The sequence below is a fragment of the Homo sapiens genome, chromosome 7 (assembly GCF_000001405.40).
Source record: "Homo sapiens chromosome 7, GRCh38.p14 Primary Assembly".
Taxonomy (NCBI): Eukaryota; Metazoa; Chordata; class Mammalia; order Primates; family Hominidae; genus Homo; species Homo sapiens.
The window spans coordinates 240,243-267,618 of record NC_000007.14 but is presented as its reverse complement, the minus strand read 5'-3'; the positions used below and the strand labels follow the sequence as shown (position 1 = coordinate 267,618).

The window sequence follows — 27,376 nt, the reverse complement described above, 5'->3', positions numbered from 1 at the left end:
GGAGGCTCTGGAAGGCCGGTGGGGGGGCAGCAACAGCTCCCGCTGCCCTCCAGGGCAATTCCAGGCTTCCGGTTCCACGTTTAAGGGAGGTGTCGTAGGTGTGTTGGTGTGCAGGGTACTGAATTTGCACAGTGTTCTTTCAGAATGGACGTACAGGAGAAGAACCCGGTTACCTGGCAGGAGTTATGGAGTTGCCAGGACTGAGCTGGTCCTGGGGAGGCAGGAGCAGGAGATGCACAAGCTCCATGTGGCCTGGGCTCTGGGCCGGGCTGAGGGAGGCGGTGGGGCCATGCTGACCCTGGGCGCTGAGGACAAGGCACCTGCTTCTCGGCTGGGGCCGCCGCTCACGCGGACGCTGGTTCTTGCTCTTCCCCGGCTGTCCTCTAGGTGACGCACGCGGACCAGACATGAGCAGGTGTCCCGGGAACCTGCGCTCACCTGCGGACCTGCGGGTCCCTCCAGCTCACAGGATGGCCGAGCCCTGGGACCCACGGAGATGGGCGGGGCAGGCGCTCTGGGAAGGGGCCGGCTGGCCGGAGCCCCCCACAGTAGCCTAGCTGGGTGGCCGACCTGGGCAACCTAGGCTAGGGTATGGCTGGTACGGGCCCAGCGGGCACCGCCACGCCCAGACCCCACACAGCAGCAGCCCTGGGGCTCTCCTAATTCCTCTCCCACTTTTCCCAGGAGAGGAATTTTACTTCAGGACAAGCTGCGAGGGCAGGAGCAAATGCCTCCCCTTCTGGAGGACGCCCTCCCAGCAGGCGGCCGGCTACAAGCCCCTTCTTCCAAATGCAGGCGCCCTTCCCCTGTCACTGAAAGGGTCAGCAGAGCCCTCTGTGCACAGGAAGATGTCCGCATCCCCCACACACTGGGAGCTGGAACTCTGCTCCTCAGACAATCGCTTGGTCTGGGCCCATCCATCTTCCTCGCCCCTCTCAGGCCCACCTGGGCAGGCAGAGGCTTCTGGAACCTTCTCTTGTCGTCTGCCCTGGTGAAGGCCCTCCTGGGGGACAGTGGCTTGGGGGTTCTGTGGAACGGACTGGCTGCAGGCCAGGTGTGCCGAGGGTGTCTGTGCAGTCAGGGTACTCCGGGGAGGTCCCCCCAGGAGGTGGGGAAGGGCTGAGCCGTGAGTCCCAAAAGGACAGCCTGGGAGCCCCTGCATCCAGGACCCTCGGTAGCTGAAGGCCTCTGCCCCCAACCTCTGTACTTGGGCTTGGGGACCTGGCCCGGGAATCTGCATATGGAGCTCACTCCCAGGTGAGGACGGCGCAGGTGCCTCCAGGGAGCTCCCTGGGAGGGCCAGGAACCCTGCCCTTCTGTGACGTGGTCTCGGGCCAGGCAGTGTCCTGTGTTGAGAGCAGGCTTCTGCAACCGGACTCGGCTGTGGGCTGTGGGCTGGGGTGGGCCGTGTCCTCTGTGTCCAGAGCAGGCTTCTGCAGCCGGACTCGGCTGTGGGCTGTGGGCTGGGGTGGGCCGTGTCCTCTGTGTTCAGAGCAGGCTTCTGCAGCTGGGCTGGGCTGTGGGCTGTGGGCTGGGGTGGGCTGTGTCCTCTGTGTTCAGAGCAGGCTTCTGCATCCTGGCTGGGCTGTGCCCACCACCCGCATTCCCCAGCAGCCTGTTCTTCAGATCTTGTCCCATGGCCCTAGAGGGCCAGGCCACACACGAATCCCCATTCATATATTTATTTATTTCTTCATTCATTTACTTTAATTCAGAGAAAAGTGGTGCCCACCTTCAGCTCTGTGGTCTCTGCCAGGTGCGCGGCCCCGATGGCTCAGGGGCGGGGGTCCCAGCGCCAGGCAGAAGCCCCCCTTGTGAGCCACTCCCTTCCTGACTCTCAATTCTGTGAAGTGAAATCCCAGGTTTTCCCCTGGTTTGTAAAAAATCATGTTTGAATTTCAACCCCCACGCTTCTCGTCGGCCTCTCTGGCAAGACACTGTCCTACTTGCGGACAAAGTGGCAGCTTAGTGCTCCGTGGGAAGCAGCCTGCACCAAGGGAAAGAACTTAATTGAAAGCCCTTTTTCTTCATTTTGTTCCTCAGCCCTTGGTCTCATCCCCCCGCCCCCTCTCTGCACCACCTGTTTCTGCGGGTGGGTGGCTTTGCATGCAGCATGGGTGTTAACGGGTAGGTGGGAAGAGGGCGGCTGTCCGGGCGGGGTCCACATGCAGGCACTATCCGTATTGAGCTCCAGAAAGTCGACCCACTGTCTAAGCCCCGGTTTACACAACTATGACGTGGGCACACGGGGCCACAATTCCTACCCCCGAGTAACTGTGAGGAGCAAAGCAGGTAAAAGATGAACTCAGGTCTCACTGTGGGTGTGCACCAGGGCTGCCGTGGGGCTGGGCTGACCCCTCCCCAGGAGGCTGTCAGCTCTGGCCCGGCTAGTGGGTGTCAAACTGCATTCTGACTTTGTATCAAACCAGTGAATAGTGCTTAAAAAGTCTGAAATAGCACCGCAATCATGAAACCCAGCAGGCCCTGCCCCTCCTGCCCCTCCTACCCCTCCTGCCCCTGGCAAAGACCCAGAGAAAATCACCTTCCTTGTTTTGCTGGGCGTGTTTGGTTTTTGTATTTACCTCCGTGTTTCCAAATAACAGGCTTACGTCACAGCTCAACATCTCCCCACTCAAACACTCCCTTCCCCAATACGGTGATATCGCCTTCTTCTTCTTGATGGAAAAATGACGTTGGGTGCTCCTGTTACGATGTGTCTGTGGCCGCACTCAAGGCTGAGCCACGGCGTCCTGGCCGTGCCAGGATCTCCACCTCTTCCCCTGGCTTGTTCTTCTGGGCGGGCACCCGCCCCTCTCTGCAGGGTCCTCTTGCTCCTGTCTCCATGTCCCCCTCGGGGCTCCTCTCGTCAGCACCCCGGGGCCTCTGCCGCCCCACTGTGCCCCATTCCTCCTTCTCCTCGATGCACATCCTGGTTTCGGGTGCATGGGCCATGAGCCGTGTCTAAATCCTGTGTGTGGAACATGACTTCATCCCCTCACCCCTGTGCTTTTGCGGGGAGGTCCGTTCGCTCGGCATCCGGAAGGGACGGCTCCACCCCACAGTCCCAGCCCTGAAGTTCCTTCAGGCCGTCCTGGCCTTTCTGCTGACCTTCCTTTTATTCTGCTGGAAACCGGGACTATTTATTTACTTTTAACTATTAGTTTTTCCTTTTTTCTTCTTTTGAGACACAGTCTCATCCTGTCGCCCAGGCTGGAGTGCAGTGGTGCAATCGTAGCTCACGGCAGCCTCGAACTCCTGTGCTCCAGTGAGCCTCCTGCTTTAGACTCTGGGGCAGCTGGGACTACAGGTGTGAGCCACTGTGTCTGGCTAATTTTTGTATTTTTTGTAGAGATGGAGGGGGTGGGTCTCACTGTGTTGCCCAGGCTGGTCTCGAACTCCTGGGCTCAAGGAATCCTCCTGCCTCAGACTCCCAAAGTGCTGGGATTACAGGCGTGCGCCACTGTGCCCGGCCCTGGGGCTATTTCACGTGGAAGTTCATGTCCTTCAGCTCAGGTCAACCCTCTTCTTCCATTTCCTCACTTCCTCTTCTCTGTCCTGTGCCCGCTGCTGGTCGGCGCTGGGGCTGCTGCCGCTTCCTCTTCTCTGTCCTGTGCCCGCTGCTGGTCGGCGCTGGGGCTGCTGCGGCTTCCTCTTCTCTGTCCTGTGCCCGCTGCTGGTCGGCACTGGGGCTGCTGCCGCTTCCTCTTCTCTGTCCTGTGCCCCCTGCTGGTTGGCACTGGAGCTGCAGCCGCTTCCTCTTCTCTGTCCTGTGCCCCCTGCTGGTTGGCACTGGAGCTGCAGCCGCTTCCTCTTCTCTGTCCTGTGCCCGCTGCTGGTCGGCGCTGGGGCTGCTGCGGCTTCCTCTTCTCTGTCCTGTGCCCCCTGCTGGTCGGCGCTGGGGCTGTAGCCGCTTCCTCTTCTCTGTCCTGTGCCCCCTGCTGGTCGGCGCTGGGGCTGCTGCGGCTTCCTCTTCTCTGTCCTGTGCCCCCTGCTGGTCGGCGCTGGGGCTGCAGCCGCTTCCTCTTCTCTGTCCTGTGCCCGCTGCTGGTCGGCGCTGGGGCTGCTGCGGCTTCCTCTTCTCTGTCCTGTGCCCCCTGCTGGTTGGCGCTGGGGCTGCAGCCGCTTCCTCTTCTCTGTCCTGTGCCCGCTGCTGGTCGGCGCTGGGGCTGCTGCGGCTTCCTCTTCTCTGTCCTGTGCCCCCTGCTGGTTGGCACTGGAGCTGCAGCCGCTTCCTCTTCTCTGTCCTGTGCCCGCTGCTGGTCGGCACTGGGGCTGCTGTGGCTTCCTCTTCTCTGTCCTGTGCCCGCTGCTGGTCGGCGCTGGGGCTGCAGCCGCTTCCTCTTCTCTGTCCTGTGCCCGCTGCTGGTCGGCACTGGGGCTGCTGCGGCTTCCTCTTCTCTGTCCTGTGCCCGCTGCTGGTCGGCGCTGGGGCTGCAGCCGCTTCCTCTTCTCTGTCCTGTGCCCCCTGCTGGTCGGCGCTGGAGCTGCTGCGGCTTCCTCTTCTCTGTCCTGTGCCCCCTGCTGGTCGGCGCTGGGGCTGCTGCGGCTTCCTCTTCTCTGTCCTGTGCCCCCTGCTGGTCGGCGCTGGGGCTGCTGCCGCTTCCTCTTCTCTGTCCTGTGCCCCCTGCTGGTCGGCGCTGGGGCTGCTGCCGCTTCCTCTTCTCTGTCCTGTGCCCCCTGCTGGTTGGCACTGGGGCTGCTGCTGGGGCCTCAGTGGCTTTGTTTTCTCATTTTCCAGCCACTGGTCTCCCTCGCTGCTCTCTCGGAGCTTCCTCAGTCTCGTGTCCTGTTCTTTCTGTCGAGGCTTCATCCTGTTTGATTTCTCCACCCACGCTGGTGCACGAGAGCCCCTCCTGTTCCCTGGACCTCACGCCATCCCCAGCCACCCCACACCCTCCTCGTTCGTCCACTCTCTGCTGTCTCTGCATCTCTGCTGTCTCTGCATCTCTGCATCTCTGCTCTCAGCACAGTCTCCACACCATGTGTTTCCCTGTGGCTTTGTGTCTCTCATGCCAAAGGCTCTCACACGCATGATGGTTCTTGTGTGTCCTTCCATAGTGGACAGCAAGGGTCGTCTGCTCTGTCTGGACCATCAGCCCCACCCTTGCTGCCCCTCCACTTACCCAGACTCCAGCCGTGCATGAGCTGTCATAGGCCTCGTGCGCACCCTCCTCCCTTCGCTGTGGCTCCACGTTCCAGCTCCTTGCTGGCAGCACCATGTTTTATACCCAGCCCCGCTGTCATCTGGTGCCTGCAGGGACACCACACGCCTCCTCCCTGCCCCTCTGGGTCTTCCTTCAACACCCCACAGTGAAGGGTGCCCCATGCCGTGGCTGAAGTCAGATCCTGGAGGTCACACTTTCTCCTTCTCTTCTCCACACTTCCAGCCCTGCAGCAGGTCCTGCTGGTCTCTCCCAGGCCCTGGAATCTGCACACTTTTCCTCCCCTGTGGTTGCTACCCTGGCGGTGGTGGCCGGATGATGGCGACAGCTGCTTCTGCACAGAGCACTCCCCTCTATCAGTCCAGACTCCGGGGCATGTCTGTTTAAACACTAACTTAATTCTATCATGGCTGTGGGTCTTGACATTGGCACTGTTGGGCCAGCCCCACGCGGCAGGGTGGGCACGGCCGCTGCATTTCTCCACCTGCGCCTCCGGCCCTGCTCCTGGCATCACTGCCTCCCGTCCTTCATGGGGCCCCTTGAAGCCCCTCCTGGAGGCTGCCTGCATGAGTCCGCTCAGGATGCCGTGACAGCACCATGGACAGATGGGGTGGCTTCAACCACAGACAGTCCCAGAGGCTGGAGTCCGAGGTCACTGCACGGCAGGGCTGGTTCCTCCAGGCCTCTCTGTGGCTCGTGGATGTCATCCTCTCCGTGTCCTCACGGGGCCGTCCCTGTGTCTCCTCTCCTCATAAGGGCTCTTGTCAGATTGGACCGGGACCACCCGAACCCTCCCGCCACTTAATCACCTCTTTTGGTTCAGTCCCAAACAGAGAGAGACATGGGGGGGCCGGCTCCAGCCAGTGGATGAAGGGGCCACAGCACCTCCCTGGCTGCCCCACACGCAATGTCTGCCTGGCGCATCCTCTGCCCTTGCCGACTTCCTTGCCATGTGCAGGGCCCTGTTTGTGACCCATCTGTGCATTTACTGTGCGTCTCCCGCTGCTCTGCAAGGCGGCGGTGATGAGGACAGAGCTGAGTCTCTCAGGCCCCGCTGCACCCAGCCTGGCACAGCTCAAATGGGTGTCAGGGACTTTGTGGAACGGACAGGTGAGTGGATGCAGAGGCTCTTAGAAGAGGGGGCCACAGTGACCGGCCCCACAGCTGATTTCTTAGGGCTCCTGGGCCGTGTGACGCTGGGCAGGTGGTAGCCAGCATGCTGGCTCCTGCCTCTGCCCCTCACATGGTGCCAGCAGGGGAGATGCTGGCCTGGGAGCCCAGCCCCATCTCTGCAGCCCCGAGGCCAGCAGTGGGAAGGGGCTGGCACCCTTCACGGTGCCCCTCACTCACCACAGCCCCGGGGCAGCTGCCCCACGCATGGCTGCCCAGTCCTGCTGGAACACTGGAAGCTGCCCATGCCAGGGCTACAGACAGGGGCTGCCCTCGGGGCCGCCGCAGCTTTGGGTCGCGGCCCCAGCCTCTGAGAGCAACCCAGGACGGACCGCCCTGCCTTGGAGGTGGGGCCCCACCTGGCCTGTTTGCACCAGGGCTTGGCAGGCAGCCCCCTCCGACCCCAGCAGGCCTCGGGTCCAGGCCACCTTGAATGCCGACTCCTGGCCATGCCTGGTTCCAGGACTGGTTTTTCTTTGGAGAGGGGGTGGACAGGCAGCCACACACCAGGGTGTGAGGGACCCGCCCCGTGAGGCCGACACACATCTGCTGTACCTTTATTGCACTTTTATGACATTGCAAACTATTCCACAAAACTCTGCAAAGGTCAGCCCACAGCTGCGCACAGCCAGCCCTGCAGGATGCACTTGCACCAACCGTCCACAGCCAAGTCCGAGGTGGGTGCTGCAGGCCAGCGGGCGGACTCGCAGGACGCCTGGTCATCGGGTCCTCCAAAACCACGTAGGCATCCGTCCACCAGCGCACAGGCCAGACGTCCAGCGAGAGCCTCCTCCCGTCCTCAGACGAGACCCTCCAGCCCTCCAGGAGCCGAGGCCCCAGGAAGGAGAAAGGGTTTTTACTTGAATTAGGTCCCGAGTGTGAGAGCACTTGAGGGGTGAGCTTGGCCTTGAGGGGCCCCCAGAACCAGGGAGGGCGGTCCTCGTGTTTGGTTTGGTAGGTGATTGGCATCTGTGTACACGTCTCTGTTTATATACTTATTCATCAAATATAAATACAAAATAGTAAATAAAGGCTCCTTTCCCTACAGAAAGGATGGAATGCCTCCGGCGCCGGCCGCCTCTGTCCGTGAGCACAGACAGCGCTTCCTTCCCAAGCTTTTCTGGTCAAACACTGACAAAATGTGTCCTATGAGACCTGGGGAGCCTCGCCTCCTGTGGCAGCAGCTCCCGACTCCGGATGATCCCGTCCTGCCTCTGAATTCACTGAATTCACGACGGGCGCATGCGCTTGCTGGGAGGTCCGGCGCCTCTGTCTCCGTCCCGGGCAGCGCAGCGGCCGGCGGACACTACCTCGCCGAGGCGGCTCTGTGCTCAGTGTCCAGGTCGTCATCCACCACGCTGTGGAGCCCGTTCCTCTCCACGCAGTCCCGGACGGCCTTTAGCACGACGCGGAGCCGCCGGTCCAGGGCCTCCAGGTGCGGCTGGTACAGCACGGGTGCCACCTGGTCCCCCCGCAGAGACTCGGCCATCAGCAGGCTCAGCTTGTACTCCTCCTTGGCCAGGAGCTGCAGACGCAGGTAGGTGGACTTCCGGATCCTGGGGAGGAGAGGGGCATCAGGCCTGGCACGGGACAGGGGAGATGCCTGCCCACGGGAAAGCGAGAGAAAGTGAGAGGGAGATCGAGAGAGTGGGGGGAGAGACAGAGAGAGAAAGAGGGGGACAGAGACAGAGAGAAAAAGACAGAGACATACACAGAGAAAGAGAGACACAGAGAGAAAGAGAGGGAGAGAGAAAGGCAGACAGACAGAGACAGACAGACAGAAAGAGACACAGATAAAGAGAAACAGGCAGACCGAGACAGAGAGAGAGACAGAGACAGACACAGATAGAGACGGCAGAGACGAGAGAGACCGCGAGAGAGGGGCCTGCGATCCAACACCTCATCAGCCTCCGGGCTGTGTGACCTGCTTCGGCGTGGTCTGCCGCCTCTCACCTGCACAAGGGATGAGGGTGCCCTTGCAGGATGTGGTGGCCGGTGTATTTCCCAGAGGGGCCCGGCAGGAGGATGGGGAGGTGAGGAGGGCGGCCCGCTCACCCAGGAGGATGGGGAGGTGAGGAGGGCGGCCCACTCACCCAGGAGACCGACCCCAGCTCAGCACATCCGCACAACACGGGCGCTGTGATGCCTCCTTAGAGAAGTACAAAGCGTTTGCCCTGCAAGCCTGCGTCCCCAGCCATGAAACGGGGGAAAGGGGGTCTGAACCCCCGCAGAAGGTGGCAGTGGCAGAGACCGGCAGCTGCGTGCGGGAGCAGGGTCCCTGTGTCTCAGCTGGCGTCTGCCCTGGCCTCGAGCTCTCTCTGTAACTGGGGTGGCAGGACGGACACAGAGTGGAGGCCCGAGGGGGCTCGAGCTGGATGGGCCTGGGGTGGTGGGCGGGTGAGGTCTGCGCCTCCAGGCCGCCGAGTGAGGGTGTGGGTTGAATTCAGGGCTGTGGTTGAATTCGGGGCCTTTTCTCTCCCATGTGATGGCCGGGGTGGGGTGGGGAAGGCTGTGGCCTCCTCTGTCTCCTGCGCAGTAGGGAGGAGGGTGGAGCTGGAGCCGGCTCCGGCAGGGGCTGTACCTGCAGCACTGCTGTAGCGGCACCAGGATGGAGAGCTCGTCGTGCGAATACTTCCCAAACCTTCCAGAAGAAAAGCAGAATTGTCAAGGGCCCCTGTACAAGGTTCCTAACAGGCTGCTGGGCTGGGAGCTGGGCCATGGGTCCACCTGCCTGTACCCGACACCCCAGGCAGTGGGTCCACCCAGCCCATCTCCAGCACCCCGGGCAGTGGGTCCATCCCACCCATCTCCAGCACCCCAGGCAGTGGGTCCATCCCACCCATCTCCAGCACCCCAGGCAGTGGGTCCACCCCACCCATCTCCAGCATCCCGGGCAGTGGGTCCACCCTGCCCATCTCCAGCACCTCAGGCAGTGGGTCCACCCTGCCCATCTCCAGCACCCCGGGCAGTGGGTCCATCCCACCCATCTCCAGCACCCCAGGCAGTGGGTCCACCCTGCCTATCTCCAGCACCTCAGGCAGTGGGTCCACCCCACCCATCTCCAGCACCCCAGTCAGTGGGTCCACCCTGCCTATCTCCAGCACCTCAGGCAGTGGGTCCACCCTGCCTATCTCCAGCACCCCAGTCAGTGGGTCCACCCCGCCTATCTCCAACACCCCGGGCAGTGGGTCCACCCAGCCCCATCTCCAGCACCCCAGGCAGTGGGTCCACACTGCCTATCTCCAGCACCCGGGCAGTGGGTCCACCCAGCCCCATCTCCAGCACCCCAGGCAGTGGGTCCACACTGCCTATCTCCAGCACCTCAGGCAGTGGGTCCACCCCGGGCATCTCCAGCACCCCAGGCAGTGTGTCCACCCAGCCCATCTCCAGCATCCTGGGCAGTGGGTCCACCCAGCCCCATCTCCAGCACCCCAGGCAGTGGGTCCACCCTGCCCATCTCCAGCACCCCGGGCAGTGGGTCCACCCAGCCCATCTCCAGCACCCCGGGCAGTGGGTCCACCCTGCCCATCTCCAGCACCCCAGGCAGTGGGTCCACCCCGCCTGTCCCCAGCCCTGTATGTGGGGTCCTGGCCTCTGGCCTGGGGAAGGGTCCTGGGCAGCCGAGTTGAGATGGCTCCAGGGAGCGTCAGCCCACAGTTTAGCTATTGAAGTGCCCAAAGTCCATCTCTCTGAGGCCTCCGAGCCTGGGAATGGACGTCCTCCTGCCCGAGTTACTCGCCTCCATGCTTTGCTTATTAGGGGTCACCCTCCCTGGTAACCAGGGTCTCACAGCGCCGCCCAAGACCCCCCGTGGCAGGCCAGCAGCGGCCGCAGAGGCCGCCTATCCCCCGCTGGCTGGCTCCAGGTACCGCGTGCAGGCAGAGGCCCATCTATTCTGCACGGTCCTGCTCTTCCTACCAGCAGCCTCTCCTGGCCTCCGTTTCCCAGGTAACACCAGCTCTGCCGGGACTTGGTCTGCAGCATTCCTGTGCCTCGGAGGTCCCACTCCCGGGGCGGCCCTCCCTCCTGGTTGGGGCCTGGGGCCGCCCTCTGCATCTGGCTCTGAGATGGGCCTTTGCGACATTCCCATCCCTCCACTGGAGGGTCTGCTCCCCCCGTCCCCAGGGTCTCAGGTGGGCTGCAGGTAGCTGGGAGGTGGCCGGCCCTTCCCTGGGTGTGCAGGGGCGAGGACAGGCTCACCCTCTTCCATTGTCTAAGTGGATGATGAACGTTTCATTCCCAAACTTCTCAAAAGTCTCGTAGTGGTGACGGTCCATGTTTCCTGCGGAGAGAGGCAGAAAGTGTCACAGCTCGTGGGGAGCCGGGCCACGTAGCTCAGAGGCCTCTGTGCTCTGCAGAGCGGCGTCTCCTCCTGCCAGCGTGACCTCTAAGCAATCTGGCCCCTTCACAGGCCACAGGACCGCAGCCGGGCCGTGCCACGGAGTGTGCCCTGCAGAGCCCTGCGTGCATCCGCTCCACGCAAGGCGAGTGACACGGGGACCCCGTGCCCCTGCGGGACGTACCCATGAGGAAGTCGAAGATCGTCATGTCCATGACGTCCAGGATGCGGTGGCTGCTGTCGTAGGGCGGTGTCTGCTTCACCTCCTCGCAGTAGTCAGGGTCCACCTCCCACCTGCGGGGAGCCAGCGTGAGACGGGGGGCCCAGGCCAGATTCTGGGGAGCCCGGCGCGTGCCATGAGGAGCAGAAGAGAAACACTGCGGCAGGGACCTTGGCGTCTGCAGATGGACCCGCCCGGGCTGCGGCGCTGAGGCTGCATTAGCGGGAGCACGGGTGTGGGAGGGGACGGAGCCGCTCTGCCCTGCCTCGGGGTGACCCCACCTGGAGCTGCCTTCACCTCTGGGCCCCGTGTTTTTTGCAGAGTCTCTGTGGGGAAACAGGACCTGGACTACACACTCACGAGGACAACGTGGGGCGGAAAGAACAGGGGCCGTTTCTCCCGCAGGAGTGAGGAGAGGGACGGGGCGAGAGCAGAGCTCAAACGCTGAGAGGCCCCGATTCGAGGGACCTGGTGGGCAGGCCGGCCCGGGTCAGGGAAGCACATGGAAATACTGGAGTAAGGACGCCCTCTGCCACCGTCTCATCAGGAAGCGGTCATCTCACACAGGCCAGCATCGCACAGCAGGCTCTGCACCCATCTCTGCCACCCCCGTGGGCGCCGACCCTCCCATGCCCGCCCAGGCCCAGCTCCCTCTGCCGTAGGGTGGCCGGACGCCAGCCCCCCGGCCCCGCACTCACTCGGCCTTCTTGCGCTTGTGGTAGGAACGCCGCCAAGGGTTCCGCCAGGTCTTCCTCTTGGCCAGGGACAGGTCGGGCAGGAAGGCCGCCAGCGAGCCCTCGATCTGGTCTGGCTTCCCGCACAGGGCGTGCTCCGTGGAGCAGTAGTAGGAACACTCGCCGTAGAAGCAGATGTTGTTGGCTGGGGAGGGACAGGCTGCGGGTTACCAGGGCCGCACAGGGCTGCGTCCTCACCTGTGGTCTCACGGCCCCCAAGGCCGGGCCGGGCTCTGCCTGGTGCTTCTCATGGGCAGGACTCACCCACAGTTCCCCATCAATCCCAGCAAACACCTCCACCCCACGGTACAGAAAAATGAACCCACAGAGCTGACGTCCCGAGGCCACACAGCTCCCCAGAGGCAGAGCCCGGCCTGAACCCTCGAAAATCAGGGGCTGGTCTATGGAAACCCTAGGGCCAACATTTAGTCTTTTAAAAAATGCATTCATATTGTCAAGAAAGTGAAGATACAATCCACAGAATGGTAGAAAACGTTTGCAAACCGCACATCTGAGGATCTAGCATTTAGAGTGTATGAAGAACTCTCATCACTCAATCACAAAAAGACAAAAAAAACTAATAAATGGGCAGAGGGCTTGAACAGCTGATTCTCCAAAGACGACCCTGATGGCCGACAAGCATGAGAAGAGACGGGCGCCATCGTGAGTCACCGGGGAGATGCAAATCAAAGCCACGGTGAGGCACCATCTCCTGTCTGCTGGGATGGCTTCCATCAAAAGAGCAGCTGCCGGCTGGGACGGGGGAACCGCCACCTCTGTGCGCTGCTGGCGGGGGGTGCACACGGCACAGCCACGGCGGAAACGGTCTGCAGCCCCCAACTGATTAAACACAGTGTTTCCACGTGACCCAGGAACTCCCCTCCCATGTAAACCCCTAAGAGAAGAGAAAACATTTCTATACAAAAACTCAGACACGAATGCTCACAGCAGCACCGCTCACCACAGCCGAAAAAGAGAGAATCCACCCAAATGTCCATCAAGAGAGGAGTGGACACGCCAGGTGAACATGGTCCATCCGTGCGATGACACGAAACGAAATGAAACAAGAAGAGGAATGAAGCCCTCACTGAACCCGAGAACCCTGTGCTCCGCGAAGGAGGCCAGACAGAGGAGGCCACACGTCGTATGACCCTCTTAATATGAAACGCCCAGAACAGGCAAATCCAGATAGACTGGGGGTGGGACGCTGCTCGTCGAGGGCTGCGGGGTGAGGAACGGTGACCGCCTGCTCATGGTACGGGGCTCCTTTTTGGGGTCAGCAGGACATTCTGGATTTAGACAGTGGTGATGGTTGCACACCATTGTGGATATACTAAAAACCACGGAACTGTACGCTTTTAAATGGTAAATTTTGTGGTACATGAATTATACCTTAATAAAGAAAGAATAATCAGAAAAATGCAAGCGCTGTCCAGGCCCGCTAGCAGTGCGGGTTCACTGCTCTGATGCTGGAGGCCCGGCCGACGGCGCTATTCCTGTATTTATTTGCTGATTAAATCTAGTTTTTCTTGCTTTATTTGTTTGTGGAGAAACTCTGGAAAGCCTGGGGCTGTAGAACTGGTGAGAACGTGGTTTTGTTGGGGCCGGAGCCCCGAACCTCACTCACAGCTCCCCCAGTCCCAGCATTCCTATGCAGCCAGGCTGAGTGATTCCAGGGGTCTCTCCTGGCTGCAGGGCAGGCTCCCCGTGGGATCAGAAGGCAGGTTCGGCAGGGCGCTTCCCAGCGGAGTGAACAGGAGGGTGGCCGGTCCCGGCTGCCCTTTCTTAGCTGAACAAGCTGAGGTTCGGAGAGGAAACGGGGTGGGTGCCAGGCCGACCTGGCCCCCACCACACCCCACGCACCCGGCAGGTCCCGGCTGGTCTGGTTCCAACGCCCCGATCACCTGCCTGCCCCCTCCTTCCCGCGCCCCCTCACCCCACTGCCAACGCTGGGTCATTATTGTAAGAACGAACGATCAAGGAAAGACCAGCTGCAATCCTGTCTCGTGCTGATACAGATTAGTCGGCAGCCCACAGTCGGACGAGGCAGCCCCCACCGGGGCAGGAGCTCCATTTCAGGAGGAAAATCTTCATCTGAGCGCTCATTGGCTGGAGGCTTAAAATTCGTCTGCTGTTAACAGCCTCCCGTCCTCGCCTAAGCCGGTTTCAGATGGTATCGTGTTAAAAGAGAAAGGCATTTCTCGGGCCCACAGCCATTTCTCTTTGCAGATCCAAATCGGGTATTAAAGGGGCCTCCCGGGCGGGGTTAGGAGGGCTTGGAGCTGTGTGACCTCAGGCAAGTGCCTCCCTGCTCTGTGCCCAGCCCCTCGCCCGGGAAGCGGGGGTCCCAGCAACGCCGGCATCACGGGCTGGGAATTACACAAAGAAGCCACGGGAGGCAGCTGTCCAGGTAACGAAGGCTGCCCTGCACTTGGAGTGGGGGCTTTCTGGGAGGAAGGAGCGTGAGTCCTTTTCCATTTTAGTAATAATAAAAGACACAAACAGCAAGGAGAAAGCCAGGGTAGCGGACAAACCCAGGAGAGATCCTGCCTCCTCCAGTCACCAGGAAATGGCATCACGGTTGGCCTCCCGGAGAGCGCAGACAGGCAAGAGTGTGGCTCCTGGCAAGGACGAAGATGGCTCCTTCACCCTGCGGCTCAAGCGTCTCCCACCATTCCTTTCGCTGACTGTGTCGGGGCTGACCCAGCAGGAGGAGCGTTTTGCAAGGCGGACGTCTGCCATCTGCCACCTTGGACAGCTGTGCCCTGGACAGCTGCGGGCCCGGCGGACACTGTTACTTAGGGCAGCGGCTCTGGGTGCCCGAACTGGGTCCATCGCTGGAAACGTGTCTCCTGCAACCTGCATTTAAGCTGGACGCAGCACTGGAGAGAGTCCTGAGGACCGCCCTGCCCAGCCCAGGCCACCGTGGCAGGAAAAAAGGCGAAGCGGATGATGGCAAAGCCCTTCTGTCCAGGCTGTGTCGGGCTGAGTGGCTTCCGGAGCTGCTGAGGACCTGGGCCTGGTCCTGGGGGCGCTCACCTTGCAGAAATGCAAAGCTGTGCACGGATGACCTGTGCACCTCTGGGACGTTTGCAACGTGCAGACGGTAACTTACGTGAGAAGTAGGGGAGTGTGTTCTGTGAGCGTTTGGGGCTTAGAAGATGTGGGCTCTGACTGCGGCCCGGCCCCTACACAGCTGTGCGGTGCTGGGGTCCTAATTGCCCTCTCTGAACCTGAGCTCCACAATCCCTACGTGGGGCAGGGGGCTGCCTGGGGCTCAGCCTCCTGCTTCTCCCTCCCAGAGCCCACCTTCCCCGAGCACTGGCCTTGGCCACCTCTCGCCCCCTCACCTTGTTCCTGGCTGATGGGATTTTCCCTTTTCTGATTGACCCCACGGGAGGGTCACTCAGGCCACGGGAGGCCGAGGGGGTGTCTGCAGTGGGCTCAGCCCTCCAATGTGCTCTGGGCTCCAGCAGGGCTTCCGAGACCACCTGGCATCCGTGGTTGGGAGGCCGAGGGGGTGTCTGCAGTGGGCTCAGCCCTCCAATGTGCTCTGGGCTCCAGCAGGGCCTCCGAGATGACCTGGCATCCTTGGTCGGAAGGCCGAGGGGGTGTCTACAGTGGGCTCAGCCCTCTGATGTGCCCTCGGCTCTGGCAGGGCCTCCGAGATGACCTGGCATCCTTGGTCGGGAGGCCGAGGGGGTGTCTACAGTGGGCTCAGCCCTCTGATGTGCCCTCGGCTCCGGCAGGGCCTCCGAGATGACCTGGCATCCTTGGTCGGGAGGCCGAGGGGGTGTCTACAGTGGGCTCAGCCCTCTGATGTGCCCTTGGCTCCGGCAGGGCCTCTGAGGTCACCTGGCATCTGTGGTTGGGAGACACATGCAAAGCAAAGTGGAGCAAACGAATCTGAACAGATTTTGTTCTCTAGGAGAGGAATCCGGGCTCCTGGGCCCCTGCTGCTTGAGAGAAAGTCAAATGCTCACAGAGGCTTCTGGAAGAAATCGGACTGACAGGGCAGCGCGGCTGGAGTGGCAGCAGTGGGGTTCCAGGGGCTGCGTTCAGGGGCGCCTGACAATGCTGGGCCTGGCTGCTCTGGGAGATTCAAGGACTCGTCTGTCCAGGCAGGGACATGGAACTGTTGGGGCCTCTGGTGGCCGAGGAAGTCTTGGATTTCAGGGGAGAAACTTGCGCTGCCCTGGAAAACGCAACTAATATCCAGAACCAGGAGTGGCCAGGGAAGCTGCTGGAGCGCTTAATAAAGTGCTGGCTCCAGGGAGACGTGAGAAGGGATTCCAGCAACGGCACCAAAGGTGGTCGATGGCCGCCTTGCAGCACAGAGCTCAGGGGCACTCCGGTGACCACCGTCCCTGGCCTGCTGAGGACCTGGGGATTCCAAGTGTCAGCCAACATGGGACATAGAGGTGACTTAATTCACCTGCTTGGACTAATAATCAACTCAGTCTTTTTTTTTTTTGAGACGGGGTCTCACTCTGTCACCCAGGCTGGAGTGCAGTGGTGCCCGATCATAGCTCACTGCAGCCTAGACCTGCTGGGCTCAAGCCATCCTCCTGCCTCAGCCTCCTGAGTTGCTGGAATCACAGATGCATGCCACCAGACCTGGCTAATTTTTCATTTTTTGTAGAGATGGGGTCTCGCTACGTTGTCCAGGCTGATCTTGAACTCCTGGGCTCAAGGGGTCCTCCCAGTACTGGGATTGCAGGCGTGTGAGCCACCGTGCCCGGCCACTCAGTGCAGGCGTGAGCCGCCGTGCCCGGCCACTCAGTGCAGCCGTGAGCCGCCGTGCCCGGCCACTCAGTGCAGGCGTGAGCCGCCGTGCCCGGCCACTCAGTAAGACCTTAGAAACGGGGAGGAAACGACCTGCCCCCACAGGCTCATTTTACAACAAAATGAGGAGTTCCGGAGATGCTGCTCTGAGCAGAGCCAGGCAGGGCATGTTCTCAGCATCAGTGGGCATCATTGACCCCTCCCTGCGTGACCCTGTGACCGTCTCTTTCAATCGGTCCTGAACCGAGAGCTTGGTCTGCAATGCAGAGAATGGAGTTTAAGCTGGAGGAATTCCCACAGTCACTGCATGGGGCGCTGGCACCTGAGGATGGGGAATGTCAGTCTTTGGAACCTTTGAAATACATCACCCTAAAAGTTGCAATAAAAATTGTAAAAAGACGTGGATAAGAAGCAGTCGGGCATCCAGGCATCACTGGAGCGGAGCCCAGCCTCCGTGGGCACCAGGGTGTGCATGGCGGGCTGCAGTGCGGTCAGTCCTGTGGACGGTGGGGCAGGAGGCGGTGGCTGGACAGTGCGGTCAGGGTCGACCCAAGGGCTGACAGCGGCCGGAGCTCAGGCGTGCTTAGGAAGCCCTGGACTCCCAGGGTGGGGAGGCGAGTTTCAGCCCCTTAAAAAAGATGGACAGCTCAAGCCATCCAAACAGGGACTGAATTGTCTGTGAGCCAATGCGTTCCCCATCACTGGAGGTGTGCCTGGCTCAGGCACAGCTGACCGGGGAGCCCTCAAAGACCCCCACGCTCAGGTTCTGCCTCTGCCCCGATTCCTGGTGTGTAGGGCCAGGCACCAGTGGGCCAGGGAAGGGAGCCCTTCTTCCCGCCTCTGTGGAGCTTTCTGTCCTATTTTTCTCTTATTAATGGGCTTTGAGAGGAAGAAAGCAAATGAGGATCTCGGTGAGCCCTGGCTGACGGAACGGAGCTTAATTAAATCATGGATTCGGGGGCCGGGTTCTGACAAATTCATGAATGCATTAAGAGAAAGCGCAGAGTCCGTACATCGATCTGAAACATCTGCAGGAAATGAGCTTTTAGGTCAAGGTTTTATGTGCCAGCAAATCTGAAGACGCAGCTAATCAGGGGCCCTAATTGGATTTTATCTGCATGAATTAAACAGATGGGCCAGGAGAGTGGCTGAGGCCCCCTACAGTGAGAGCCTCCGATCCGGAGGGCCCCTCCCCAGTGGGGACCTTGCTCTGCAGGGTTTCCTGGGGTGAGGGTCCCTTCATTCTGCAGGGCCCACCATCGCTGGGACCACTCTTGACCTTCAAGATGGAAACATAGGGGACCGAGTCCGGGACAGGTAGGAGAGTGTCCCCAGAGCTCAGCCAGGTGAGCATCGGAAATGGGAACAGGCTGTGCAGCAGGGGCCTGGTACCAGAGAGGCGCTTGGAGAGGAGGACTGAGCCCTCGGCAGAGCCACAAATGCCAGTTTCTTTTCTTTTCTTTTTTTTTGAGACAGGGTCTCACTCTGTTGCCCAGGCTGGAGTGCAGTGGTGCAACCCCCACTCACTGCAGCCGCCACCTCCTGGGCTCAAGCAATCCTCCTGCCTCAGCCTCCTGAGTAGCTGGGACCACAGATAAGCGCCACCACGGCTGGCTAATTTTTTAATTTCCTGTAGACAGGGGTCTCACCACGTTGCCCAGTCTGGTCTCAAACTCCTGAAATCAAGTGATCCTCCCACCTTGGCTTCCCAAAATGCTGAGATTACAGGCGTGAGCCACCACGCCCAGCCCAAATGTCAGGTTTAAAGCAACCTGGGTAGATAATTAAGTAGAAAATCATGTGTTTATGTGTGCGCTGTACTTATCACGTAGAGTCTTGAAGGTTTTATAAACCTCAGCACCAACAAAGACATCTATTCCTGCCTAACGTTCAGGCCATCCTGTATCCCCTCAAGGGCACCAGGGACCAGGGGCCTGGGCCAGCCCTGCTCACAGTCCAGCCACTTCGCCGAGGCGGGGGAGGCCGCCCACCCTGTTACTATACAACGGGGGTCCTGCTGAGTGTGTTTAAGTCCGAGTGGGGAGGTCCCATGGATGTTTGCTGGCTGGGCCACCTGGAGAAGGCTTCCTGGAGAGGCTAGGACCTCCCAAAAGTGAATCGTTTCACCAGTTAAAATAAACAAAGAAATGGAAGAAACAGTCTCTCTGTGCACAGAAGGACATTGGTTAAACCCTGATGGTGGCACCTTGAAGCTGTCCGTGGGCTGGCACTCCGGGTGTGGAAGGAGGCACAGGGCACCCCTGCGTGGGAGGTGGGTTGGGAACAGCACTGTGAGTCAGCACCCTGGTGTGGAAGGGGGCACAGGGCACGTGCCAGGCTACCTGGAGAGATGAATGCGGGCCCCCGTGCCAGGCTACGTGGAGAGATGAATGCGGGCCCCTGTGCCAGGCTACCTGGCGAGATGAATGTGGTCTCCCCGTGCCAGGCTACCTGGGGAGGTGAATGTGGGCTCCCCATGCCAGGCTACCTGGAGAGATGAATGCGGGCCCCCGTGCCAGGCTACCTGGAGAGGTGAATGTGGGCCCCCGTGCCAGGCTACCTGGCGAGATGAATGTGGGCTCCCCGTGCCAGGCTACCTGAAGAGATGAATGCGGCCCCCCGTGCCAGGCTACCTGGAGAGGTGAATGTGGGCCCCCGTGCCAGGCTACCTGGCGAGATGAATGTGGGCTCCCCGTGCCAGGCTACCTGGAGAGATGAATGCGGGCCCCCGTGCCAGGCTACCTGGAGAGATGAATGCGGGCCCCCGTGCCAGGCTACCTGGAGAGATGAAGAAGGTCCTCCAGAGCTTCTTGTCCCGTGTGACGTCCCGGATCTCCTTGGTCATGTTGACCATCCTGCCGGCCACGGGAGGGACCCGGCGGAAGTCCAGGATCCTGGCAAGAAACGGGCGGGGAATGGTCTGTGCTCTGTGCGGCTCAGCGGGCCTCTGTGTCCCTGCCTCCAAATAAGAACGGGGCAGGGGAGGGTCTGTGCTCTGTGCGGCTCAGCGGGCCTCTGTGTCCCTGCCTCCGAATAAACCCAGCCCTAGGTCCGGTGGCTCTGCCTGGCCCCACGGTGATGGGGGTGGGAGAGGCCCCTGAGGGACTGGGGCTGGCGATGCCTCACTGATGGGCACACAGCACCAACTGCCTGCATAGCTAAAGCCTGCCCTCATTCCAGGGCTAAATTTAAAACAAAATTAAATTAAAGGAGCCACTTTTAATGGAACTCCTTCTGAACCACACCACAGGCTCCCACTCGCTTAATTAAATGGAGAATGCAGGGCGAGAGCTTTTCTTGCTGACGGAGGACGTGGTGATTGTCCTGTGAGGCGAGGTGACCAGGTGTGGAGGGACGTGGGCCGTCTGCCAGGGCCGACCCGGGACCCAAGGCCCGACCACGCCTCTGCGTGGAGCACCCTCCCCCTCCACCTGTCAGACGGCTCGCCTGGGTGCTGGGCTCTGTGTCCTGTTTTATAAACAGGTGGACCCGAGGGGGGCTGTTTCCTAATGACCCTCCCCGTCTTTCTTTTCATAAAAAGCCCTTTTTGGGTTCAGGCTGTTCTAGATAGCTGAAATGGTGGAAAATCTGGCTTCTGGCGATTTCTATAGTCACCACAGAAGACTTTGATCTTTAAAAAAGCCCTTTAAACTCCAATGTACGCCCGCGTCACTAGGGATCTTGTTAAAATGCAGATTCTGTCCCAGGTCTGGGTGGAGCCCAGGACTCTGCATTCCAACTAGCCCAGGGCAACCCCAATGCTGCCGGCCCTGGGGCCGCACCCCAGGCTGGGACGTGTCAGGGCCGTGCAGGGCAGGCAGGGAGGCTCTGGGGGCTGAGGGTGGCGCCTCCTCCCTCCACTGCACCAGGGCAAGGTCCTTCAATCCACGGGGCCCCTCTGGACCTGGGCCAGGCCCGTTTACTGCCCTTGGAGGGCACTGAACACGGACCCCCCACTTTCCCAGCAGCAGGGCCAAGCTGACCCTCACAAGGGGTTCACTTTCTGCTGGGCTGGGGCGGCCCCTCTGGAGACAGGCGACCGTGGGGCCTCCCAGGCCCCCTCATCACAAACATCGCTTCCCCCTCCTTAGGAAGCCTGCTTTGGTCTCCCAGAGAAGCCTGTGCTCTGTGAGTCTCTGTGTTAAGATTCGCAGCACTTAATACTCCCCCTTCCCTCCCTGCCTCCTTCCCTCTTTCCTTTTCCTCTATTACCGACCGCACAGCAGCTTCTGTGCCTCCCATCTGCCTGAACTGTGGGGGTGCAGGAGGGGCCCATCTGGATTAAGGTGCCCTGAGGGCAGGCGCCCTCTCCCTCGGTGACAGAGGGATGATTAGGAGCGTGGGAACCTGGGCAAATCGCCGCTCACAGAGCCTCAGTTTCTCATCTGTAAAGGGGGATATGAAAGGCTCTCCCTACCGCGTGTTGTGTGGGCTACGATGACACAGAGGGCCCTGCTCAGGGCAGCACTCGGGGTGGGGGGAGAGCAGGCACCGGCGCTGCCTGATGGTGACAAAGGTGACGATGACATACAGGACCCTGCTCAGGGCAGCACTCGGGGTGGGGGGAGAGCAGGCACCGGCGCTGCCTGATGGTGACGAAGGTGACGATGACGTCCTGCTGTGTCCAGTGCAGGACGGCCTCACTCACCGGTGGGTCTGAGCGCACGGGAGCGCGGATGGAGGGAGGAAGGAAGGGCTCACCTGTCCAGGTGGAAGGCAGCAATCTCCGCATTGTGCCTCTCGTAGTCAGAGAAATAAAAAAAGTCAGGGGGTGTCTCCTGCTCCCTCGTTTGTCTGAGAAAACAAGACAGAAACAGAAACGGTTTGTCACTGAGAAAGCCTCCAGGGGCCGGAGGCAGGCGGGACGTGCTGGGTTCCTCATATGAAAAATGCGGTGGAGCTCCAGCCTCCTCAGGGCCACCCTGAGCCTTCGGGACCCTGGGCACCCAGCTGCCGACGGGCCCTCAGAGCAGCGCAGGCACGTGCGACGGAGGCCGGGGGTCCCAGCTCCCCGTGGCCCTGACCCAGCTGCCGACGGGCCCTCAGAGCAGCGCAGGCCCTTGCGACGGAGGCCGGAGGTCCCAGCTCCCCATGGGCCCTTCTCAGGTAAGCTGCTCAAAGGCCTCTCCTGCACTGGCTGGGGGCCCCGGCACGTCCACCCTGGGACCCACAGTCACACCGCAGGGGAGAGGCTGGGCTCGGTGTCCCAGGCCTGGCTCAGCCCCGGTTTGCTGTGTGCACCCTGGCACCGCCCACCCTCTGGTTTCCGAGTCTCCCCCACGGCCTCCAGGACCCCTTGGCTCTGCCGTGGACGCCTCCCACAGTAAGAGCCCAAGAAGGGCAATGTGGGCACCGCCCTGTCCCTCCACCCTGGCCAAGGGACAGGAGGCCACAGGTGGGGCTGTTTATGAAAGGTCAGTGCCATTCTGTAAACACCATAGGGCTCCTGTATCTCAGGCCAATACTCCAGGGGAAGGGGAGCCTAGCCGCAGGGCCCTGTGAGGTGCCGGTCCACGCAAGTGTTTGACCGATGTGGTCATGGTGGAAACGTGGAGGAATTGTCAAGGTCGTGTCTGAGCATAAGTGTGTAAGCGCGTAAGCGTGTAAGCGTGTAAGCATGCTTCCTCCACCAAGGCCGGCCCCTGCCATGCTTCCCCCACCAAGGCCGGCCCCTGCCTCCACTGGAGGGAGAGCCTGTCCCAGGGCGTCCACCCAGGCCAGGCCCAGGGAGGGAACTCAGCCTCCAACCCAGGCTTCCTCCACCAAGGCTGGCCCCTGCCTCCACTGGAAGGAGAGCCCGTCCCAGGATGTCCTCCCATGCCAGGCCCAGGGAGGGAACTCAGCCCCCAATCCAGGAAGAATTTACCAGATTCAAACTCTGGTGACCTTTCCAGGTGCTGGAAACCAGAGCTGGCGGGAATCCCCAGCTCGCACGCCCTGCAGCCCACACCTCCCACTCAGGGCAGACTGTGTTCCGTCTGGGCTCCAACACTCCAGCAATGCAGACTACAGACGCCGCCCCGGTCACTTTCCCAGCCCTCGGCTTCCCCGGCCGGGTCCTTCCTTCCATATACGCAGCGGAGGTCCGCCCAACTCCTGGGAGCATCCTGGCCCTGCCACGGGCCGACATCATCGCCACACGAACAGCGGGGTGGGGCACAGGTCCTGTATGTCATGTCCACGTCCCTTCGGGGGGACCACGTCTGGGTCACAGGCCGTCAATTACACACCAGCCCGTGGCTCCCGTCCTCCCACGCTGTTCTCAGAAAGCTGTGGCCACAATTCTCCGTGTTCCCGGAACGTTTCTTATGGGGGGTTAAAGATGTGTACCACCCACGGCCTTTTTAAGAACTAGTCTCTGCTGCTAGAAACTCTGAGAACAGACCACTTTCCACGATCCCACATAATATTCGCCTTGACAGGGCCCTGGGTAGGCGCAAGGCCAGATGAGGATTCCAGGAGCTACTTAAAAATAAAATGCGGATGGTGGGCTGGCGCCTGAAGGTCACATTTGCTTCATAACCCCACTGGGTCTGTGGCCATTGCTATCTCTGTGCACTTCTGAAACCAGCAGCAAAGGAGGGTTGGGGTGCAGGGCAGGGCAGTGGCAGGTATGGCGGCAAACTGAACATGCTGCCCGCCAGGGTCGCCCTGCAGAGCCGAGGCCCAGACTGGCCGGGATCCTGAGGTTCAAGAGAAAGAATCTAGACCTTGTGGAATCTCCCGGGTTTTAAGCGCTGGCAAATGGATTTCATTTTTCTAAAACACTAAAGGTCAAACCAAATGGTCCGCTGCAGTCAGCCCGCAGTTCCAGGGGTGGTAAATTCTGGAGTGTTGGATATTTTTGAGGTTAAAAAGCCTTCGTTGTTTTCAACTTGGAAGGATTGGCTTTGAGCAAAACTCATTCCACAGAACACTAGTTCTACTAGATTTTAGTAACTTTCAGCTGGAAAAAGGGAACTCCAGATGGAGGCAAGATTTCTTTTCTGTAAACTTCGAGCCTTACGTCTGCACAGTGACTCCCCAGAACGGCCCAGCATGAGTCCAGGAGTTCAAGACCAGCCTGGGCAACATAGTGAGACCCCAGGTCTACGAAAAATAAAAAAATCAGCTGGGCGTGGTGGCACACACCTGTGATCCCAGCTACGCGGGAGGCTGAGATGGGAGGATCACCTGAGCCCAGGAGGCCAAGGCTGCAGTGACCACTGCAATCCAGCCTGGATGACACAGTGAGACCCTGTCTCCAAATAATAATAATAATAATTATTATTATTATTATTATTATTATTTTCTTTAGAAAATCCTCAGCTACTTATCAGTTGGGCAGTCAGAATTCACTGTAGGCCCCTGGAGCAAAGGCCTGCACCACTGGGTGCCTGATAAAGCCGCTAGGAAACTGAGCTCCTGGGACATCCACTGCAGAGGCGGCGCCCAGGTCTCCTGGGTGGCACAGGTCTCCCGGGTGGCACAGGTCTCCCGGGTGGCACAGGTCTCTTGGGTGGCACAGGTCTCCCGGGTGGCACAGGTCTCCCGGGTGGCACAGGTCTCTTGGGTGGCACAGGTCTCCCGGGTGGCACAGGTCTCCCGGGTGGCACAGGTCTCTTGGGTGGCACAGGTCTCCCGGGTGGCACAGGTCTCCCGGGTGGCACAGGTCTCTTGGGTGGCACAGGTCTCCCGGGTGGCACAGGTCTCCCGGGTGGCACAGGTCTCTTGGGTGGCACAGGTCTCCCGGGTGGCACAGGTCTCTTGGGTGGCACAGGTCTCCCGGGTGGCACAGGTCTCTTGGGTGGCACAGGTCTCCCGGGTGGCACAGGTCTCCTGGTTAGCACAGGTCTCCTGGTGGCACAGGTCTCCCGGGTGGCACAGGTCTCTTGGGTGGCACAGGTCTCCCGGGTGGCACAGGTCTCCCGGGTGGCACAGGTCTCTTGGGTGGCACAGGTCTCCCGGGTGGCACAGGTCTCCCGGGTGGCACAGGTCTCTTGGGTGGCACAGGTCTCCCGGGTGGCACAGGTCTCTTGGGTGGCACAGGTCTCCCGGGTGGCACAGGTCTCTTGGGTGGCACAGGTCTCCCGGGTGGCACAGGTCTCTTGGGTGGCACAGGTCTCCCGGGTGGCACAGGTCTCTTGGGTGGCACAGGTCTCCCGGGTGGCACAGGTCTCCTGGGTGGCACAGGTCTCCTGGTTAGCACAGGTCTCCTGGTGGCACAGGTCTCCCGGGTGGCACAGGTATCCCGGGTGGCACAGGTATCCCGGGTGGCACAGGTTTCTTGTAGGTACTGTCTTGGGGGGCAGCTGTTCTCGCCCTGGCCAGGTCCCCTGGACACACAGCCACTCCACGTCCCTCTGAGCCTGCCCCTTGGTGTGGGCACCTGGAGTCACCTCACCCCCAGCCTGGCCTGTCCATCGGTGCTTCCTCTGTGATGGACGTGACCTTCTGCGCTGTCCAACTCGGCAGCCAGTGGCCACACATGGCTGTGGGACACTCGAAATGTGACCAGAGCCTCCAGAAACTGAGTTTTAAGTCTGATTTTATCTTAAATCTAATGGGCACACCTGGCTAGTGGTGTGCAGTGCAGCTCTGAGAATGGGGCCTTCTGAGGCCTCTGGTGTCTGCCCACTGTCCATCCCGCTCCCTGGCCAGGATGGAGGGGGCCGAGTCCACCCCCTCCCCCAGCTCACTGGCCCTGCCCCCAGTGCACCGAACAGTGCTGTCTCCCCAGCCTGCAGCCCAGCCTGCCCTCCCTTCCCACCCTCCTCCTTCTGCTTTCTCAGTCAGGACTGTCCTGGCCACCGCCTCCAGGAAGACCCTCTGGAATCGTTCCGTCCTGCGGACGCCCCTTGCCCTGTACACACAAGGCCTGCAGAAGGGCATTTGTCAGATCCGCGTCCCCGGACCCACAGACAGCACATCTCCAGGTCTGGGTGTTCATCTTGCTGCTGCCACTGACCCTCGCCAGCCCAGGTTCCAAACCCCAGAGGGAGAAAAAGAGCAGCTGCCTCCCAGAGCTGTTGCGGGACGGGCACACACAGGGCCTGGTACACTGCAGGAGCTCACCGTGTGGTGATGTGGACGTCTCAGTAGCAGGCGAAGTACAATGGGATGTCCCCGCAGAGCTCTCCAGGCCTGCCAGAGCGCAGGGGGCCTCTGGGGACACTGAGGCCCAGGGAGGGGCTGGCCCAGGCAATGTCCACTGAGCGTTGGCATGGGGCTGGGCCTGGATGCTGAGTGGTTTAGTTCTAACCACCCACTACAGTATGCATACGCACGCACACACACAGATGCACATTAACACGTGTGCACATGCACACATGAACACTCATGCACACACACATACCCACTCATGCACACACACACACCTGCACGCTCACAAACGTACACACGGGCACACACACAGATGCACATTCACACGTGTGCACATGCACACACACTCGCTCATGCACACACACCCACCTGCACACTCAGAAACACACACACGGGCGCTCACAGTGGATGCACATTAACACGTGTGCACACACATATGTGCACAGATACATGTGCGTACACACATTCATGCACATGTGCATCCATACACTCGCACACTCACAGATGCACACGTGTGCATGGACATATATGCACACTCGCAGGAGTGCACACACACACACACACACACACAACCCCCACAGAACAGTGCTGTCGGAGGCCTCTTGGTGAGAAGGGGACTAAGACCCGGCTCCATCGATCTTTCCCTGGCACAGCCTTGCAGCGGGGCTGGCTGGGAAAGCGCATTTAGTGGCCCTGAAAAGGCGGAGTCTGATTTCCTCCCTGCAAAGAGACTCAAAGCTCACGCAGAAGACGAACGACTTGCTGACTTGAGTCACCTGCACAAATCCGGTCATTAAAGCACATCCCATCTGGCGGCTCCCATCTGACCCTGTGTTCTGCTCCCGGGCAGAGGGCAGCAGGCAGTGAATTCTACTCTGGGCTCCGCTCCCGAGGCCCTCGGGCCACTTCCTGCCACAGCTGGGCTGAAAGCCCCAGGGAAGGGGCCAGACCCAGGTGACCCCAGCAGGAGGAAGCAGGGAGGGAGCAGCCCCAGGGGCAAGGAAGAAAGCAGCTTCCAACAAACCACCCCTTTAGGACAATTCACCCCGAAGCTCACCCCAGCCCGTAAGCCCCGGCCCCACTTGGGGCTCTCCAATCAGTGCAGAAACCTCACCAGTTCCCTCTAGAATATGAGTCAGCTCTCCAGCACCTGCCCCTCCTCTACCTCAGCCCCACCCCCTGCTCAGGGAGGACGTGCTCAGGAAGCCAGACTCAAGCCCGCAGCCCTCCGCCCGCTGCCTTCACATGTGCCCCCTGCCAGCCCTGCCATGGTCTGTCTCAGCCCCTCTGTGGGGCTTTCCTGGAGCCTGAGGCAGAATGTGGCTCTTCCCTAAGGAGTGCTTGGCCCGGGCCACAATCGGTGGCATTGTTTGCTGGACTCAAGGGGAGAGGGCCCCAGGGCAAGAGTGTTCAGTTTTCTGGATCACATGCCTGGCCAAGGGCTTGCTTCCGAACAGGTGTTTCATAAACAAATGAATGAATGAGGACTCAGTCAAAGAATTGTCCAGAGAAGTCTAGATCTATCTGCAGCCTTGAGCTCTTGCCACCTCATTCCTTCCATTTCTATCAATGTCACCTCTACCACCATCACCATCACCACCATCACCTCCACATCATCATCACCTCCACCATCACCTCTATCATCATCATCACCACCATGGTCATCACCTCCACCATCATTATCATCCTTATCATCATCATCACTGTCACCATCATCATCATCATTATCACTATTACCTCTACCATGATCATCACCTCCACCATCATTATCATCCTTTATCAACATCATAATCATCACCTCCACCACCATCATCATCACTATCACTATTACCTCTACCATGATCATCACCTCCACCATCATTATCATCCTTATCAACATCATCAT

General features: G+C 60.3%; 2 protein-coding genes across 5 annotated transcripts in view; both read right to left on the bottom strand.

Annotated features, from left to right (window-relative positions):
• Positions 1-3,404: 3,404 nt before the first annotated feature.
• LOC124901807 (G patch domain-containing protein 8-like) lies at positions 3,405-4,896 on the bottom strand. Its single transcript, XM_047421171.1, has 2 exons — positions 4,160-4,896; positions 3,405-4,107 (listed from the first exon to the last, which is right to left on the bottom strand). The coding sequence occupies exons 1-2, from the start codon at positions 4,808-4,810 to the stop codon at positions 3,505-3,507; spliced, it is 1,254 nt and encodes a 417-aa protein (XP_047277127.1). The 5' UTR covers positions 4,811-4,896; the 3' UTR covers positions 3,405-3,504.
• The window catches only part of FAM20C (FAM20C golgi associated secretory pathway kinase), a 68,202-nt gene continuing 47,672 nt past the window's right edge, over positions 6,847-27,376 (bottom strand). For 2 of the 4 annotated variants that reach the window (XR_007060116.1, XR_001744837.2), the window contains 4 exons: positions 21,112-21,204; positions 19,189-19,304; positions 14,976-15,487; positions 11,684-11,770 (listed from right to left, as the gene is read on the bottom strand). Coding sequence is in view for 1 of the 4 variants with exons in the window: in NM_020223.4 (NP_064608.2) it covers positions 7,639-7,888; positions 8,914-8,973; positions 10,533-10,614; positions 10,856-10,965; positions 11,590-11,770; positions 19,189-19,304; positions 21,112-21,204 (892 nt within the window). In the remaining 3 variants the exon portion in view is untranslated. Of the gene's footprint in view, positions 7,889-8,913; positions 8,974-10,532; positions 10,615-10,855; positions 10,966-11,589; positions 11,771-14,975; positions 15,488-19,188; positions 19,305-21,111; positions 21,205-27,376 lie in introns of those variants that run through there. The other 2 variants (NM_020223.4, XR_007060117.1) reach the window with 2 other exon arrangements.

What these genes read in the sequence shown, in the direction of transcription:
- LOC124901807 (XM_047421171.1), bottom strand. Translation starts at nt 4,810, where the DNA reads ATGAAGCCTCGACAGAAAGAACAGGACACGAGACTGAGGAAGCTCCGA. An exon ending in GAAGCCGCAGCAGCCCCAGC is followed by an intron (nt 4,108 to 4,159) that starts GCCGACCAGCAG and finishes CTGCAGCCCCAG; the next exon opens with CGCCAACCAGCAGGGGGCAC.